At 41.6% G+C, this 19,027-nt stretch overlaps 1 protein-coding gene across 14 annotated transcripts in view; it reads right to left on the bottom strand.

The window, feature by feature from the left end:
• The window catches only part of PDSS2 (decaprenyl diphosphate synthase subunit 2), a 307,003-nt gene that overhangs the window by 38,663 nt on the left and 249,313 nt on the right, over nucleotides 1-19,027 (bottom strand). For 13 of the 14 annotated variants that reach the window (XM_011535960.4, XM_047419100.1, XM_047419098.1 and 10 more), the window contains one exon: nucleotides 2,598-2,630. In XM_011535960.4, coding sequence (XP_011534262.1) covers nucleotides 2,598-2,630 — 33 coding nt within the window. Of the gene's footprint in view, nucleotides 1-2,597; nucleotides 2,631-5,089; nucleotides 6,675-19,027 lie in introns of those variants that run through there. The other variant, XM_017011082.3, reaches the window with a different exon arrangement.

A 19,027-nucleotide genomic window follows, 5' to 3' on the forward strand; every position in this document is an offset into this window, starting at 1 on the left:
ACGGTCAGATTGGTGGTTTAGACAGCCACTCTGGCTGGTAAAGATCTGTGGGGACAAAAGAGAGGCAGTGGAGACTGAGCAGTAGGTTTTTCAGTGTTCAGATGAAGAGACTATGAGCACGAGGAATGGAAGAGAGACCAAGAGGAGGAGTTGGAGTCAAGAAAATGTAGGCTATAAAACTGGTATGACTTGGTCATGGAACAAGAGGTGGGGAGTAGAAGTGGTTTCTCACATGGTAAGTTTCTCACATGGTTGACTGGTGGGATGACAGTGCTAATCACAGGAGAGAGGATAAGAAAAAAGGCTCAGAGGTCCAGCACCAGGGACTGCAACCTTCCTAATGCAATATATGGACTTTGGGTGATAACGACGCACCAATGTAGACTCATCAATTTTTTTTTCTTTGAGACAGGGTCTTACTCTGTCACCCGGGCTGGAGTGCAGCAGCATGATCTCAGCTCACTGAAACCTCTGCTCCCAGGCTTAAGCAATCCTCCCATCTCAGCCTCCCAGGTAGCTGCAACTACAAGTGCTCATCACCACACCCAGCTAATTTTTACACTGTTTTGTACAGACAGGGTTTCACCATATTATCCAGGCTGGTCTTGAACTTCTGGGCTCAAGTGGTCCTCCCACCTCAGCCTCTCAAAATGCTGGGATTAGAGGTATGAGCCACTGCACCTGGCCTTAGATTCATCAATTGTAACAATGTGCTTCTCTGGTGTGGGATGCTGATGGTGAGGGAGGCTGCATGTGTTTGGGGTCAGGGGCTATAGGAACTCTACTTTTCACTCACTTTTGCTGTCAACCTAAAACTGCTGTAAAAAATAAAGTCATTAAACAACAGCAACAGAAAGGCCAGAGATGTCAGAAAAGATGTTTAGTTTAGTTTAAGATGCACTGGGCTCTCATGCCTGTGGGAGACCCAAGAGGGTAAGTCCACAGCCTGCGTTTGGGTATATGATGAGGCTCAAGTACACATCTAAGACCGAGTGGCAGATATGGAAGCCCTTGGTTTACAGGTGCTCCTATTATCTAGTTTTTCTTGAAGGAGGCAGATAAAAGGAGAGACGGTCCCAACACTCCTCATGGGAGGGAGAGAAAGGACTTGACAGCCTCTGAGACCCCAAAAGCTGCAGAGTCTGAGACCCCAGGGAAAGGCCCAGGGAAAAAGTCAAAAATCAAAGAAGAGGCAGTGAAGGAAAAAAAATCCTTAACTGGGGAGAAAAGACCTGAGACAGACTCCAAAAAAGCCAGAGACCAAGTTATTTGCTGCTCCTAGTAAATCTGTAAGAAAAGCTTCCCACACCCTACCGCAAATGGCCCCCAAACCCCAAAAACCAAAGTATCCCTGTCAACCTAAATTCAGTGATTCAACCAGAAGGAAACATCAGAGCTACCTGAAGAACTTTTTAGAAACACTCAGGTCCTGACCTGCTTTGCAACCTTCTCCAAGCGGGAGACCCGGACTTACGGATTTTTTAAAACCTCCATAGGTAATTCTGACATATGTTCCTGGGTATAAGAACCAGTGGTTCAAAGTAAATCTATTTTGTAATTGTTAAAAAAAAAAAAGAGAGACTTTATTTTCAGCAAGGAAAGAAGAGTAAAGGTGGGGGCCATGGGTGTGCCCCACTAGGCTGCCAGGAGAGTGCGAGGTTCCAGGTCAGCTCTGGAGAGGCCCTTGAGGGTTTTGGTTGTCCCACGGCAAGCAGAGCCCTTCTGGGTCATGTTTCTCCCTCCCTGTCTTTGGAGTGCAGGTGTGCTCACATCCTGGATATTCCTGATTGTTGCATAAATCAGATGGTTGACATGTTCTTTTAGCCAAGCAGCTGTACACATGCCATACACCTGCTAAATGTTCCATTTGTCCCTGAGGGGAAAACAGAACGTGACCCAAGTGTGTTCCTAGGCCTGTACTGATGCACTGAAATCTGACCTCCCGCAGCAGTTTTTAACCAGGGCTGTGTGTCAGAATTATCTGTGGAGACATTTTCAAACCACTCCAGCCTGCCCCTGTACTGCTCTCTCCATCAGGGGATTCTGATCTTGGTGAAAGAGGGTCTGATGCAGTGGTACCTAGGCACATGTGTTTTCAAAAGTTCCACAGGTGATGTGAGAACTCCTGCCTTTGAGAGCTCAAGTCTATCCTGTAAGGTGCTTTCTACTTATTATCTGATGGCCCTAAAGGTTGTCTTCCATCCACACCCCATAGCATCTTTCAACAATAGCTAGTGATTTTACTGTTTATTTTTCCTCATCACATTTGCTGACACTTGACATTATTTATTTAGTCCTTTATTTTGTTATTGATTTTCCCCACTAGAATTGTAAATATTCTGAAAGGAAAGACTTCATCTAGTTGACCGTTGTATTCTCAATACCTAATACAATGTCTGGAATGAAACAGGTACTCAATAATAAATAGACTTCTTGTTGAATGAACCTTATTCCACATGCTATTGGCCTGTTACTTAACAGGAAATGTCCTTCAGCTCTCAATGTGATCATTCTCTTTTGACCTTTCAAATATAAACGAAAGCCAAACACCAAATTGAAATGTGTAAAATAGTACAGTATGTATAAAATCTGCCTACCTTAGCATAGTCCAATCTTCCTTTTTCTTGAGCCTACAAAAGAAGAGGGGAAAATTAATTTGTTACTTCTCTAAAAGTTTAGTGCTTCTATAATTTTTGCTTCTCAAAGAATAGAACTCAGCTTCTCTGTCCCCCTTTCCCTCTCTCTATTTAATATACATATTGAACTATATATTATAATCCATGTAAATTGCAAGCATATAGAAAAGTTAAACGAACAGATCACTGAGCACGCATAGACACTACCTAGATCTGGCAGGAGTGGATGTCACGACTCTTAATGTCACATGCTTCAGCATGTATCTTATACATATACAGCATCTCATACATCACCCCATGACCACAATCAAAATTAATGAACTCACAATAATGCCATATCATCTAACACAAACCTATATTCAAACTTCTTCAACTGTTCCAAGAATATCTTTTATAGCTTTTTTCCCCAAAACCAGAATTAATCAAGATTCACACATTGCATTCTGGTTTTTGTGCCTCTTTTGTTGCCTTTTATTTATTATTATCATTTCTTCTTTTTTGCCTAGACTAGTCTCTCCCAATTTTTAACAAAATGAAAATAAAAGCCATGCTTCTTTTCATAAAAACCATTGACTTTTTGAGAAGACAAGGATAGCTGTTTTATAAAATCCCTTTTTCTTCTTTCTTCATTGCGTCATTTAACTTGTTTCTGTTTTGCTTGTAAACTGAAAGTTGGGTCTGGAGAAGGCTGCTAAGATTTAGGTTAAACATTTTTGGCAAAAATACTTTATGTGGAAATATTACATACTCCATCAATTCAGGAGGCACAAAATGTCAGGCTGTTTCACTCTTAGTAATGCCGTAAATTCAGCTGGGTGCGGTGGCTCACGCCTGTAATCCCAGCACTTTGGGAGGCCAAGGCAGGCGGATCACCTGAGGTCAGGAGTTCGAGACAGCCTGGCCAAAATGGTGAAACCCCGTCTCTATTAAAAATACAAAAATTAGCCAGGCGTGGTGGCAGGCGCCTGTAATCCCAGCTACTCAGAAGGCTGAGGAGACAAGAAAATCGCTTGAACCCAGGAGGCGGAGACTGCAGTGGGCTGAGATCATGCCACTGCACTCCAGCCTGAGTGACAGAGCAAGACTCCATCTCAAAAAAAAAAAAATCTTAACATAACAACCAGGGTTAGTTTTTGCTGGCAGGTCAGTTTGTGTTTTGCAGACTTCAGAATAAAATTTCTCCTGCCACTTCTGCATAGAACAAGAGTCCTCCAACTTACAAACGGGTTAGGTCTCAAGACCATTTTGTTCCTGAGTCCAAATTTACATTATACAGGTAATTAACATAGGCAGATTACTTCCGTGAGAGAAAAAAAAAGTTTATAATATTGGTCCTAAAGCTGGGCACAGTGGCTCATGCGTGTAATCCCAGCACCTTGGGAGGCCAAGGCAAGAGGATTGTTTGAGCCCGTGAGTTCAAGACCAGTTGTGGCAACATAGTGAGACTCCATCTCTACAAAAAATAAAAAAAATTAGCTGGGTGTGGTGGTATGCACCTGTAGTCCTAGCTACTTGGGAGGCTGAGGTGAGAGGACTGCCTGAGCCTGGGAGGTTGAGGCTGTAGTGAGCCATAGTTGCACCACTACACTCCAACCTGGGTGACAGAGTGAGATCCTGTCTCAAAAAAAAAAAAAAAAAAAATGGTCCTGACCCTTCTTGCTGCTTTAGAATCTTTTAAAAATTTTTCTGAAGATGACTCCATTTTTTTTTTTTTTTTTGAGATGCAGTCTTGCTCTGTCGTCCAGGCTGGAGTGCAGTGGTGTATCTCGGCTCACTGCAAACTCCCCCTCCAAGGTTCAAGGGATTCTCCTGTCTCAGCCTCCTGAGTAGCTGGGATTACAGGCACCCACCACCACGCCCGGCTAATTTTTGTATTTTTAGTAGAGACAAGGTATCGCCATGTTGGCCAGGCTGGTCTTGAACTCCTGACCTCATGTGATCCACCCACCTCAGCCTCCCAAAGTGTTGGGATTACAGGCGTGAGCCACTGCGCCCAGCCCTTGTTTTTCTTATTTTCATAGTAAGAAACTTATAAAACACTGTTCATGCACAGTTGTTGGCACCACCACAAACCACTCTAAAATTGTGATTAAATATTTTCAGTGAAACAAAAGGCCTCTGCAACCAATCTACTATAAAAAGAGTAAGGTCTTCAGTCTGCTTTTTGAAGTTTTTTAGTGTTCTAGGATTTTCAGAGAACTAAGAAGAGTTTGAACTTAGTACTGAGATGCATTGTACCAACAGGAATATGAGTGAGTTCTTAAAGAAATTTCAAAACCAAGCTGTTAGTCTCTATGCTTAGATATTTTATATTTATTCGTTTGTCTGTTTATGGGCATCTTTTCCCAAAATAGTTTTGTCTACACTGAAAATCCCACCATAGTAACTTCTGCAGAAGTGGTAGGGAAGCCCTGAACACATCTGTATTGCTCACTTATGACCTAGCTACTCACTTTGATATTGTCCAAATATGGACTGGCCTTGATCTTACGAATAATCCACAGATGGCCTGTGACCAAAATTTCATCAGCAGCACTTTCCCAACATGCTTAGTCTTTCAGTTCTCAAACTCGCAGCTGACTCTTGAATTCATTTAGGTTAATGGACATCTGACATTGAGGCTGATCCTGTGGTCACAAGTTTTCCACTTTTTCCACTCTCCATCCTTTTCCTTGTCTTTTGCTGACTACTATGAATTGCTCAAGTGCAGCACTTTTCAAATGACACTAGGATATTCTGAAATATATATTTGGTCATAGTCCAGTTTTCTGGCATACAACTCCTAAAATCTTCAGAAACTCACCAAGTGATGCCTTTTTGTATGTTAACGAGCTGACTGATGGCTGGCAACTCCTGACTTCAGGATGGGGACTGGTCATGGCAAAGACCAAGACAGGATTAGAAGGTTAGGGCTTTCAGCCCACCCCCAAATTTCTGGGGAGGGGAGAGGGGCTGAAGGTTAACTTGATCACCAATGGCCAATGGCTTAATCAATCATACCTATGTAATGAAGCTTCCATAAAAACCCAAAAATTTGTTCCATAAAAACACAGAATTTGGAGAACTTCTGGGGAGCTGAACACATGGAGGTTTCTATATGGTGGTACACTGGAGAGGAAATGGAAAACTCCACGCCCCTTCCCACTTGTCTTAACTTATGCATCTTCTCATCTGTGTTCTTTGTAATATTCTTTAAATAAATTGGTAAGTATAAGTGTTTCTGTTCCAAAATTCACATAGCTGTGAAAAAGAAAGTAAGTGTTTCCCTGAGTTCTGGGAGCTGCTCTAGCAAATTAACTGAACCCAAGGAAGTGGTCGTGGGAGCCCCACTTTATAGCAGGTCAATCAGAAGCACAGGTAACCTGGAGCTTGTGACTGGCATCTGAAGGTGGGGGTGGGGTAAGGGGGGGGTGCAGTCTTGAGCCCTCAACCTATAGGATCTGACACTATCTCCAGGTAGATCGTGTCAAAATATGGTACGTGCCTGTTGTCCCAGCTACTTGGGAGGTTGAAGTGAGAAGATAGCTTACGGTCAGGAGTTTGAGGCTGCAGTGAGCTATGATTGTGCCTGTGAATATCACTTCACTCCAGCCTAGGCAACAAAGTGAGACCCCCATCTCAAAAAAAAAAAAAAAAAAAAAAGAAGTGTCAAAATAGAAGTAAGTTAGAGACACTCAGCTGGTGTCAGCTTGCTGAAGTGATTGCTTGCTTGTTGATGGGGAGAAATCCTTGCATGTTGGGTCATAGAAGTGTCCTGTGTTGACTATTTTTGAGAGACTGTATCAAACACTTTTGAGTGTGTTTTCTTCCACTCACAGAAGCACAAACTGGGAGTCCTAGAGAATTGTTCCTGAGGTCAAACAGCTCAACACTGAGCACATCTGTCATTTCCTCACTGTCAATGTTGCCTCTCTTCTAACCATCTCCTCTTCATGCTCTCTCAATATTCTCATCGTTCAGTGCTTATCATGCGGTGCTTAAGAGTGTTGAAAGTAGCATTTGTTGAAAGTTAGAAAGTTGAACTTCTGTACTTGAAGACTGAAAGGCAAACCATGGAGAAACTATGACTGACAATGACTTAGGGGTGGAATTTTCCTTTTGGCTGCATTGAGCCACCTCCCACTCTGTCTCAAAAAAATTCAACAGGTAAGAAGAGTGAATATAATATTCTTTACTGATAAGGACATCTAGAATAGCCCTATCACAAATTCCTGTAAAACCATTTTTCCCATCCCATACTTTGTTTATAGACTAATCATCTTGGAAAATTCTAGTACTTTGAATTACCTGTGCTTAATCACAACTTATTTGCAAACCTCAAACTCTCTCACTTTACTTTGTCTTCTTAGCTTGGCCACTACCCTGTCACCCAGTAGGGACACATTGTTGGGGATGACGGCAGAGAAATTCCATGGATATAATCTAGATCTGCTCAACATCAGCTCTATAATGTTTTGAAAGCTGAGAGAGTAGAAGCCTACATAAAATGACAACACCGTTACCACAGCCATTATAATCTGAACATGCAACTATTGATATGTGGCTCACCCGAATATCCTTTTCATTTTGTCACAATAAATGTTCTAGCTCTATGAAATCATTTTACTCTTGATCACTTTAGCTTGTACATAAAAGTATCATTTATTTTAGGAAAAAACTCTGGTAAATATTTAAACTTCTATAGGTATATAATACATATATGTTTCCAGCTGATACATGGGTATAATATCTAAATATGCCAAACATACCTGACAACAGACATTCTGATATGGTGTTTTCTCACAAAAAGCTTTAGAGCTTTTAAAAATATACTGACCAGGCACGGTGGCTCATGCCGGTAATTCCAACACTTTGGGAGACCAAGGCGGGCAGATCACATGAGCACAAGAGTTTGAGATCAGCTTGGGCAACATGGTGAGAAACCTGTCTCTACAAACAATAACAACAACAACAACAACAACAACAACAACAACAACACAGCAAAAATCAGCCAGGCATGGTGGCGCGCACCTGTAATCCCAGCTACTTAGGAGGCTGAGGTGGGCAAATTGATTAAGTCCAGGAGGTCAAGGCTGCAGTGAGCTGTGATTGCACCACTGCATTCCAGCCTGGGTGACAGAATGAGACCCTGTCTCAAAAAATAAATAAATAAAAATATGTCAAGTTAGATACAAATAAATGATTTAGATTCCTACATAAATGATATTTCTCATTAAATACTATCCTTATTCTTTTTGTAAGATAGTTAATTTGGGAGAAGCGATAGTTTCTATTACACCTCTTGGTTGCTCATTCATTTAACAAATACTCATTCAGCACCTACTATGAGTCAGACACTGCTTAGGCACTACAGACACAGGCATGAACAGAACAGATCAAAATGTGTGACCTCTTGGAATTTATATTCTAGGAGGTTACAAAGTATTGTGATTGACTGACTGTTTGATTGGTTGATTAAACAGGGTCTTACTCTGTCTGTCACCCAGGCTGAGTGCAGTGCTGTAATCACAGTTCACGGCAGCCTCAACCTCTCAGGTTCAAGTGATCCTCCTGCCTCAGCCTCCTGAGTAGCTGGGGCTACAGGTATGTACCACCATGCCTGGTTAATTTTTAATTTTTTATAGAGATGGGGTCTCACTATGTTGCTCAGGCTGGTCTCGAACTCCTGGATGCAACTGATCCTCCTGCCTTGGCCTCCCAAACTGCTGGGATTACAGGCATGGGCCACTGCACCTACCTACACAATACTGTTTTAGATATGCTTCGTCTACAATCTCCCAAGCTCCATGAAAGCAAGGAAATTTTCTCTTGCTCACAACTGTATCCCAAGTTGAGATCAGTGTCTGAGTGAATGAATAAATGGATGAAGCTTTTTCTTTATATGTATTGGTTATGTACTACTTATTCAGGGAATGTACAGGAAAAACGAATTTTACTCACTCCTAGTTCTAGGAAAGCTGGATGTTTTTGTTTGTGAGCTAGTATGCAGGTAATGTAGAGCCCTTAGCTGATGCCTTACATGTAATTTTTACCCATATAGAACAATGGCATATTTTCATTTTCTCACCCACCTTCTATTTATAAATACACTAAAGAAGGGAACCTAAGCTTCCATCTGTAGAAAACAAATTCAATGATTTCATGAAAATTAACCAACAAAAGGCTAGGACAGAGAAGAATTAGTGTAATTAAGTGCTTCAACCTTAAAAGCAGTGCGTCTAAAGGAAAAGACCTTAGAATGGAAGTTAACAGATCTCCAGAGAGATTTCAAGACATACACCTCAAAATTTCAGGGATTAAAGGCCTTGTCTACTGATTACAGCAAAAGGCCTAAGATCTTAATTGTGAACACTTCAAGAGGCATTGTGACCTGGGAAGATGGATATGTTGGGAGCCAGAAAATATGGTTTCTAGTCCTTCATTGGTTAATAACTTGAATAATTTTTACATTTTTGTATAGGCCTTCATTTCTTGATCTGTAGAACACCAGACCAGACCAGAAGTTCCCAGATGCTGGGCTCTCACAAATGCTGGGCTGGATGTATTGGAATCACCTGGGTAGCTTGCGAAAAATGCAGATTCTCCATAGCCTACCCCTGTGATTCTGATTTGTTTGAGGATCATTGGTCTGGCCTATGTCTAATGTCTTTTTTAATTTGTGCTTCTATGTGCATCAGGGTTTACTTCAAAGGCTGAAAGAGAACAACTATGTAAACTCCATAAGTCTCGAGGAGAATGGACTGCAACTTTTCCCTTTTTGTTCTGACACCTGCCACTTATCATGTGTATTTCTAGCAGAGCAAGATATTATTATTATTATTATTGAGATGGAGTCTCACTCTGTTCCCCAGGCTGGAGTGGAATAGCGTGATTTCGGCTCACTGCAACCTCCACCTCTCAGGTTCAGGCGATTCTCCTACCTCAGCCTCCCTAGTAGCTGGGATTATAGGTGCCCACCACCATGCCTGGATAATTTTTGTATTTTTAGTATAACGGGGTTTTGTCGTGTTAGCCAGGTAGTCTCAAACTCCTGTCCTCAGGTGATCCGCCCACCTCAGCCTCCCAAAGCGTTGGGATTACAGGCATGAGTCACTGCGGCCAGCCAGAGCAAGATATTATTAAAATAACTTTCTCACAGGGGCCCAAAATAGGCTGATATAAAATAAATGGAATCTATATTTCAACAGCCAGCAGTCCTGAACCTCTTCCTGCCACACTGTTCGTCCCCAGAAGCCGCTGTAAATTCTACCATACACAGCAATTCCCTGAGGGCTTCATTACTAGGGTCTTTAAAAGGGATTCACTCATCTTTTTGCCTCCTGTAGGTGTGCTTCTTGTCAATCCAGGTCAAGAGAAAAGAAAGTAATTTTTTCCAAATCTTTAGCAGTTCACAGAGAATGTGTGGTTTGAACCTTGTTTTATCTTTTAAAAATGTGAAAATAGACAAGATAGTGTGCCTGTGCTCATGACACTGGAGGCCTCCTCGGACAGCTATAGTGAACACTGTAAAACAATATTCCATACAAAAGCAAAAAAAAAAAAAAAAAAAAAAAAGCCAGCACTCTGATTGAGAGGATGCACAAAGGAATTAATTCCAAAGGTTTATATACCAGTCTCTGTAGACTAAAGGCAGACAGATTCCCTGTTGGTAAGTAATGGATGTACAATGTGGTCTTTTACTTTAAGAAACAAACGTTTTTTTATAAGTCAGGTAACAAAGAAGGATTGGATGACATAAATGAACTGTTTCCAATTTCCAACTACTGTTATCTGGAGTTGAAAGCTGGATATGGGGACACCTTTTTCTAAAAGCAGAAAACTAATATTCCACAGCAGGGAGTCCAGAAATTGCTAGAGACTAATCATCTCTACTTATCAGGTTATTCTTCCCAAATGTTACAGGCTATATTTTAGAATAACTGCCATTTTTAAAGATTTCCTTTTTAAATCTTCAAGGAAAACTACCTTCCCCCGCAAACTTTTTAGTTGAAAGAATACAATGAACACTCATTTTCCCTCCACTTAGATTCAACAGTTGCTAACACCTTACCACTTCTGTTTTCCCCCTTTCTCTCCATGACCATTTATTATTTGAGAGTAAGTTTTAGACATAAGGATGCTCACCCCTAGATACTTCAGCATTTGTCCCTAAGAACACTGACATTTACTATAATAGTTAATTACTTATTTGTTTGTCTGACAGGGTCTCCCTCTGTTGCCCAGGCTAGAGTGCAGTGGCACAATCATGGTTCACTGTAGCCTTGACCTCCTGGACTCAAGAGATTCTCTAGCCTCAGCCTCCTGAATAGCTGGGATTACAGGTACACACCACCACACCTGGCTACTTTTAAAAGTTTTTAGTAGAGATGGGATCTTGCTATGTTGCCTAGCTGGTCTTGAACTCCTGGCCTCAAGCAATCCTCCCGCCTTGGCCTCCCAAAGTGCTGGGATTACAGGCATGAGCCACTGCACCCAGCCCTATAATGCTATTTAAAATACAGTTCAGGCTGGCCATCTCTGCAAAAAAAAAACAAACAAAACAAAACAAAACAAAACAAAACAGTGTGTAGTGTATGGGGATAACAGAAAGAAGGGTCACAAATCAGAAATCTACTACATCTGCTAGCCCGGAAGTTAGAGCAGCCCACTGAGTATTGGTTTGGTAGAAGCAGGCCTTGTGTTGCTCGGCTTTCTAGTTACAGAGCTGGAAAGATAGCAGAATATAAAGGAACAGGGCAGGCCTTTTCTCTGCTATCTTGGTCATTCTCTATGAATAAGAGAGCGCAGAAGGCATGTGCAAGGAAGTTAACACCATTCACACCTGGACTGCTTTGCTTGGGTACCTGATTTTACCATCTCTTTCAACTGGGAAAGCTAATCGACTTTTAGAGGCAAGCGTGGATGTCTAAGGAATTAATTTTCTCATATTCTGTTCCTTTGGTTCACTGGAGAAAAAGAAGCAACAGCAGATGTAGAAGGCTATGGTGTCCAATTTTAGAAAGGAGAGAGGCAAGGAGATACTAGATATACTAGAGTAAGGCGAGGAGATACTACTTGTATTATCTACATAACAAATCTCTCTCTGCTCAGAGGTCTTGTTATTTCTTTGTAACCTGTTTTTCTTGCTATGCTGCTCTCTTGGAATCTGGAAGAAACATGAAATTTTAAATTGCACAGTGTGACCAGGAAAAAAAATCGACTCAGGTCTCAGAAAGGCCATGATTAAGGAAATCAGGCTAATAGTAGAATTTAGTTGCTTCCTCCAGCAGCAAGTTCCCAAGGCAACGGCCATCAACCTTGATGGAGTACTTCAAACTCACCATGTCAAGAACCTAAGTTAAACCAGTCTTTCCACTTAACTTTCCTATTTCTATTAATGGCTTAATTTTTTCTGTTATCCTAGTCCAAAATCCTTGTTTTAGCCTCTGAGTGCCACTCCCCAGTCCACACCTGTCAGCCTCTCCCTATCAGATCAGTTTTCTAGTCCCATATATTTTCTCTGAAATGAGTTTTACGCTTAACCTCCTTATCTTCCCATTCTCATTGCCAACACTCTGATTGGGCTTTTCTCTTGTGCTTATCAATGGGTTTCCAAAAACTTCTTAATTGATCTCCTTGCTTTTAGTATCTCTTTGTTCCTTTCATCGTATATAATATAGCCAGATTTACCTCCCTCGCAGCTCAGACCTTGATCATATCAGGCTCAAAAACTTTCAATGTCTGCTTCATGACTTCTTCATCAAGTTGGTTTGCCATAGGCAAACATCCCAAAGTCTTTTAAAAATTTAGGTAAAATTTACATAACATAAAATTAATCATTTTAATCATTTAAAACAGTATAATTCAGTGGCATTTAGTACATTCACAATGTTATGCAATCATCACCACTAACAAGTGCCGAACATTTTTATTACCCCAGAAGGAGACCTGTACCCATTAAACAGTCTCTCCCGCTTCGCCTCTCCCCAACCCTGGGCAACCACCAGTCTTTTTTCTGTCTCTATGATTTGTCTACTCTGGATGTTTCACATAAATGGAATCATATGATATGTGGCCTTTTGCATCTGGCTTCTTTCACTTATTATAATTTTTTTTTTTTTTGAGACAGAGTCTCACTCTGTCCCCACGCTGGAGTGCAGTAGCATGATCGAGGCTCACTGCAACCTCCGCCTCCCGGGTTCAAGTGATTCTCCTGCCTCAGCCTCCCAAGTAGCTGGGACTACGGGTGCCTATTACCACACCCGGCAAATTTCTGTATTTTTAGTAGAGATGGGGTTTCACCATGTTGGCCAGGATGGTCTCGATCTCCTGACCTCGTGATCCGCCCCCCTCGGCTTCCCAAAGTGCTGGGATTACAGGCATAAGCCACCGCGCACTGCTTATAATATAATGTTTTAAAGGCCCATACATGTTGCAGCATGTATCAATACCTCATTCCTTTCCATGGCTGAGTAATATTCCATTGTATGGATATACCACATTTTGCTTCTCCATTTATCAGTTGATAGACACTGGGCTATTTCTACCTTTTGGATATTGTGAATATTGCTGATCTGAACATTCATGTACATATTTTTACATAAACCAGTCTTTTAAATATAGTTATTACTATTTCAGAGCAATTCTTCATCTGTCCCTGATACTACCCTATGTTTTTCACATTCCACCCAAATTAAGACACTTTTTTTTAATTTGACAACATTGCATGCCTGCACCTGTATCACTTTTTCATGGTTTCCTTTGCCTAGGAAGCCCCCATTCTCATCTTTGCTATCCAATCTTCTTTAAGGACTATCTCACATATTATTAATACCGACTTCATAAACCTCTTTCTTGACTTTTCCAACTGAACATCAATTGTCTTTCCTCTATGCTCCCCAAGTGGCATGAATCACAGTATTCCTTATGTTTCTATATTTATGTATTTATCTTATCTCCTCTCTACTGGGCCATAGACAACCTTTAGGCAACTTATTTCTGTATCTCCTGTAGTCAAGCACTTTGTTTCCTTAAGTGCAACAGAAAGCCTTAAGAAATATTTTAATTTAGGAGATATCTAGAGCCATTTCATAGTCTTTGTGGTCATGCATATAGTTCTTTCAAATGCCTACATTGTATACCTTCTATGATAGAGGATGATATTAATATTATTCCTTTTGAAACCACTAAAAATGTCTTAAAGAACTAGAAGAGTATCACATGTGTTATTAATGAGGAATCTGCATGTGCATTTTCTCTTTTGTTTAAGAATAGGCATGTGTTATTTTCACGCACACCAGTCTTGCCTAGCAGTCTTTGTTTTACTTTCTGAATAAGGAGCAATAGTAAGCTATCTAGGGACAAGCGAGTTACAGCTTAGCAATGGTAATTTGTAGTACACTTAAGGTATTTCATGACAGTGTCAGAATGTCACAAGCCCAAGTGACATTTCAGTACTATTAGGAATAGCCAAGAAAATCTAACCATAATTCTTATTTCTTCAGGTGACTTATAGTGGCAGCAGAAAACTAGAAGGATCATTAAAAATAAAGCTTGCTGACCTGCAATAGCCCCTGGACTCCCTGAGAGAGTCAGAGCTCTGTGGTGCTCTGAAGGATTCTACTTTCTTTTATTAGGAATCAAAATGATAACTGAGTAATGACTTCACCTCCCCAGGGTGAATAACCCATTCACTAACAGTATTTTTTCCTGATCATTATTTCTCAGCAGCTACAAATTTAAATTTAAAATTAAGGCAGGGAGAGATCTGTAGAATTTAGTATGGAGAAAATGCTCAGCAAATGTTTTTCAGCTGTTTCCGGTCTTAACTGCCTTTTGTGAAAGAGTGTGGTTGTGTGCGTGTGTGTCAACATGCACATGCATCCATAGGCCTATAGTTGTGATGGAAGAGGGCTACCTAATCCTAAGATTTTTCAGGAGAAAGGAGCTGCTGGAGAAGAGGTGGCACAGCCTGATAAGGAAAATCCCAGGGGTGCTCTTGCTCCTAGCTTCACAATGGTGCTGAACGGGTATCGAGAGTATGTCACCTCCTGGCTTCCTTGTCTAGTCAATAATTCTCAGTCTTTCCAAGCAGGAAATCAAAACAGTAGATGAGACACAAACCTGCCTGGGCAGAGTAAAGAAGTAATTTTAAATGTGGTAATAAGAAATCACAGGTGACTTCCATCATTGACAGCAAGATTTTTCTGTTTCTCAGTGTTAAAACTTGTAAAAGTTTCTTTTTTTGCGGGGGACAGAATCTCAGTCTGTCACCCAGGCTGGAGTGCACTGGTGCGATCTTGGCTCACTGCAACCTCTGCCTCCTGGGCTCAAGTGATTCTCCTGTCTCAGCCTCCCGAGTAGCTGGGATTACAGGCATGCGCCACCACGCCCAGCTAATTTTTGTATTTTTAGTACAGACCGGGTTTCACCATGTTGGACAGGCTGGTCTGGAACTGCTGACCTCAAGTGATCCGCCCACCTCGGCCTCCCAAAGTGCTGGGATTACAGGTGTGAGCCACCATGCCCGGCCTGTTTCTAATAGAGATAAATATTTTTCTTATAATGCATCTCTTGTCTAAGAGAACTAGTTCTTGGATTTATTTTAGAGCTGAAAGGGACTTTGGAAAAGATCTAGTTTAATGCCATCATTTTACAGAAAAGAATAATGGGGATATGAGAGAATGTGATTAAGTTTACTTAGATGCTAGCAGAGTCCAAATTAGAATCTAGACCAGGAGTGTCCAATCTTTTTGCTTCCCTGGACCACACTGGAAGAAGAATTGTCTTGGGCCACACATAAAACACATGAACACTAATGGTAGCTGATGAGCTAAAAAAAAAAAATTGCAAAAAAACCTTCATAATGTTTGAAGAAAGTTTATGAATTTGTGTTGGGCCACTTTCAAAACTGTTCTGGGCTGCATGCAGCTCATAAGGGCTGGACAATCTTGATCTGACCTTCCAAATCCTGGTCCTCTGTGGGCCATTTCTGTTATACCAACTTAACTCTAACAAAACCGGGCTGCCACCAAACAGTCTCAACCTGCAAGACCACACCACACTCACTTTTTGACAAATATTAATTTGGTAATTACTCCAAGTAAGCCACTGTGGCAGGTAGTATGGGTAATTCAAAGATGAATTTGCTATTATTGTTTTTTTTTTTTTTTAGACGGAGTCTTGTTCTATCGCCCAGGCTCGAGTGCAGTGGCGCGATCTCAGCTGACTGCAACCTCCGCTTCCTGGGTTCAAGTGATTCTCCTGCCTTAGCCTCCCGAGTAGCTGGGACTACAGGCGCCCGCCACTGTGCCCGACTAATTTTTTGTATTTTTACTAGAGACGGGGTTTCACCATGTTAGCCAGGATGGTCTCGATTTCCTGACCTCGTGATCCGCCTGCCTCGGCCTCCCAAAGTGCTGGGATTACAGGCATGAGCCACCACACCCGGCCTGAGTTTGCTATTATTGTTAAGGATCTTGCAATCAAATTCAAAACTGAAGGAGAGGGCTTTAGGGGAGGGAAGGAAAGGATCTCAAAGATATCCAGGAGGGTAAATAACATGAAAAAATCAGAAAGAGAACTAATTTCAGGATTAATAAGCAACCTCCTTGAGATTTAGGGTGGAATGTCTCTCCTAGGTGTTATGCAAATTGTGTTCCCTATTTCTGACTAGGAGGCATTCACAGAACAAGATGGTTATCTTATAAAGCTTTACATAAAAATGTACATTACAATTTAGAAGATTAAAATAAACTCAGTAAAGTGTCTTTTTTTTTTTTTTTTTTTGTGAGACAGAGTCTCACTCTGCTGGCCAGGATGGAGTGCAGTTGTGCAATCAGCTCACTGCAACCTCTGCCTCCAGTGTTCAAGTGATTCTAGGGCCTCAGCCTCCTGAGTAGCTGGGATTACAGGCCCGGGCCACCATGCCTGGCTAACTTTTGTATTTTTAATAGAGATGGGGTTTCGCCATGTTGGCCAGGCTGGTCTCAAACTCCTGACCTCAAGTGATCTGCCCACCTCGGCTTCTCAAAGTGCTGGGATTACAGGCATGAGCCACCATGTCCAGCCATTATTTTTATTTTTAAAAATGTGTTAATTTTCTTACCTCTGTTTTTAGTTTTCTCTGTCTATGACTTGTTTTTTTTTTTTTTTTTTTTTTTATGAAACAGAGTTTCACTCTTGTTGCCCAGGCTGGAGTACGGTGGCGCAATCTTGGCTCAATGCAACCTCTGCATCCTGGGTTCAAGGGATTCTCCTGCCTCAGCCTCCCGAGTAGCTGGGATTAGAGACATGAGTCACCAAGCCTGGCTAATTTTTTGTATTTAGTAGAGACGGGGTTTCACCATGTTGGTCAGGCTGGTCTCGAACTCCTGACCTCTGGTGATCCACCTGCCTCGGCCTCCCAAAGTGCTGGGATTACAGGTGTAAGCCACCATGCCTGGCCTTTTTTTTTTTTTTTTTTTTTTTTTTTTTTAAAGACAGTCTCACTGTGTCGCTCAGACTGGAGTGCAGTGGCTCCATCTTGGCTCACTGCAACCTCTACCTCCCAGGTTCAAGTGATTCTTGTGCCTCAGCCACCTGAGAAGCTGAGATTACAGGCGTGCACCACCACACCCAGCTACTTTTTGTATTTTCAGTAGAGACAGGGTTTTACCATGTTGGCCAGGCTGGTCTTGAGTTCCTGACCTCAAGTGATCCACCCCCTTGGCCTCCCAAGTGCTCAGATTACTGGGATTACAGACATGAGCCACCACACCTGGCCTGTGACTTTTTTTTTTTTTTTTGGGGACGGAGTTTAGCTCTTGTCGCTCAGGCTAGAGTGCAATGGCGCAATCTCGCTCACTGCAGCCTCTGCCTTATAGGTGTGCACCACCACGCCCAGCTAATTTTTGTATTTTTAGCAGAGACAGCGTTTCACCATGTTGGCCAGGCTGGTCTCGAACTCCTGACCTCAGGCGATCCACTTGCCTTGGCCTCCCAAAGTGTTGGGATTACAGGTGTGAGCCACTGTGCCCAGCCTGGCCTGTGACTCTTAATAGATACAAGGTTTCCTGAAAGAGTCCTTAGTTTTCTTATTTTTTTTCTTTTTTTAAAAAATCATCTTTTTTGTCCACTTTTCTGGGAGATTTTTTCATTTGTATCTTCCATTCTTCTGATTAAAAAATTCTGCAATCATATTTTTATATTTTATAATTCTAATTTTTATTCTTGAATTGTCCTTTTTAATGGATCATCTATTATTATACCATGGATTTAATATCCTTCCTTGTCAAGTATATTGATTATAGTGCTTTGAAAAACATCTGCCTTTGATTGCATTGTCTCTATTTCCGCTAAGTTCCCTTTTTATCAGTTTGTTTTTGACTTGCTGTTTCGTGGAAGCAGCTTTTCTCAAATGCCCAGTGGTCCTCTTTTCCTATTCTGCTTCAGAGTAAGGCAGCAGATATTCTGGGCACTTAGATCCTCTGAGGCTTGTCAAGTGGTGGGTCTTGCTGTAGGAGGACTGCTCAGGGATATGCCATGTTTACTGAGGAGGCCCCAAATATCCACATCTGCAAGGCTTTTTCTCCTGAGTTTGACAGTTTCTTCAGAAAGAAATCCTCCAGTTTTCTACTTGGTGAATATGAGGAATTTTAAGTTGGCAGCCAGCATTTTGAGAATCAATAAGGGTTGGGAGGAGGGAAATCTTTCAGAACGCAGATACTCACTTAGGCTCTAAGCTTTTTTTTTTTTTTTTTTTTAAATTTCAAAAACTTTAATTTTGTAGAGATGAGGTTTCACTATGTTGTTGGTCTTGAACTCAAGAGCTCAAGTGATCCTCCTGCCTTGGCATCTCAAAGTGCTGGGATTACAGGCATGAGCCACTGCGCCCACCCATGCTCTCTCCTTTAAGGATGGTGGCTACCCCCACCCTCAGCTGTGCCTGGTTTCTCTGTCCAGAGCCTCAGATTAACCCAACCAATTACAGCCACGAAGTTAAATAAATTCCAAGAGGCTTTGGCTAAAAAGGCAAGAAGTTTTGCACTAGAGTTTCTGAATTAAAAGAAAACCAAAAAAGTTCCCTCTCATCTGCCAAAATGAGAAATTCACCCAATTCAAGCCCCTTTACCCCTCCCACTTCGCCATGCTTTTTTCCCCCCCGCTTTGATAATGCCTCAGAACAAGTATTCAGGGTCCAAGTTTGTTTTAAAATAACCCAATGAGCTGACAGACGGAGCTCCTGGAATTCTGCAGCTTGTGCGAGAGTCCACAGATGGGAAATTGCAGTCAGTTATAGGGTGGTGCTATTACCATAGCCCAATTTTTGAAAGCCTTTAGAAAAAAAAAGTCATCTGAGTTAATTAGCATTCACCACAGGCACTAGTTTTGTGTTGCAGTATTCTAAGAACTCAGATAATAGAAAAATTCAG

This window comes from Homo sapiens, chromosome 6, assembly GCF_000001405.40.
Source record: "Homo sapiens chromosome 6, GRCh38.p14 Primary Assembly".
NCBI classification, from domain to species: domain Eukaryota; kingdom Metazoa; phylum Chordata; class Mammalia; order Primates; family Hominidae; genus Homo; species Homo sapiens.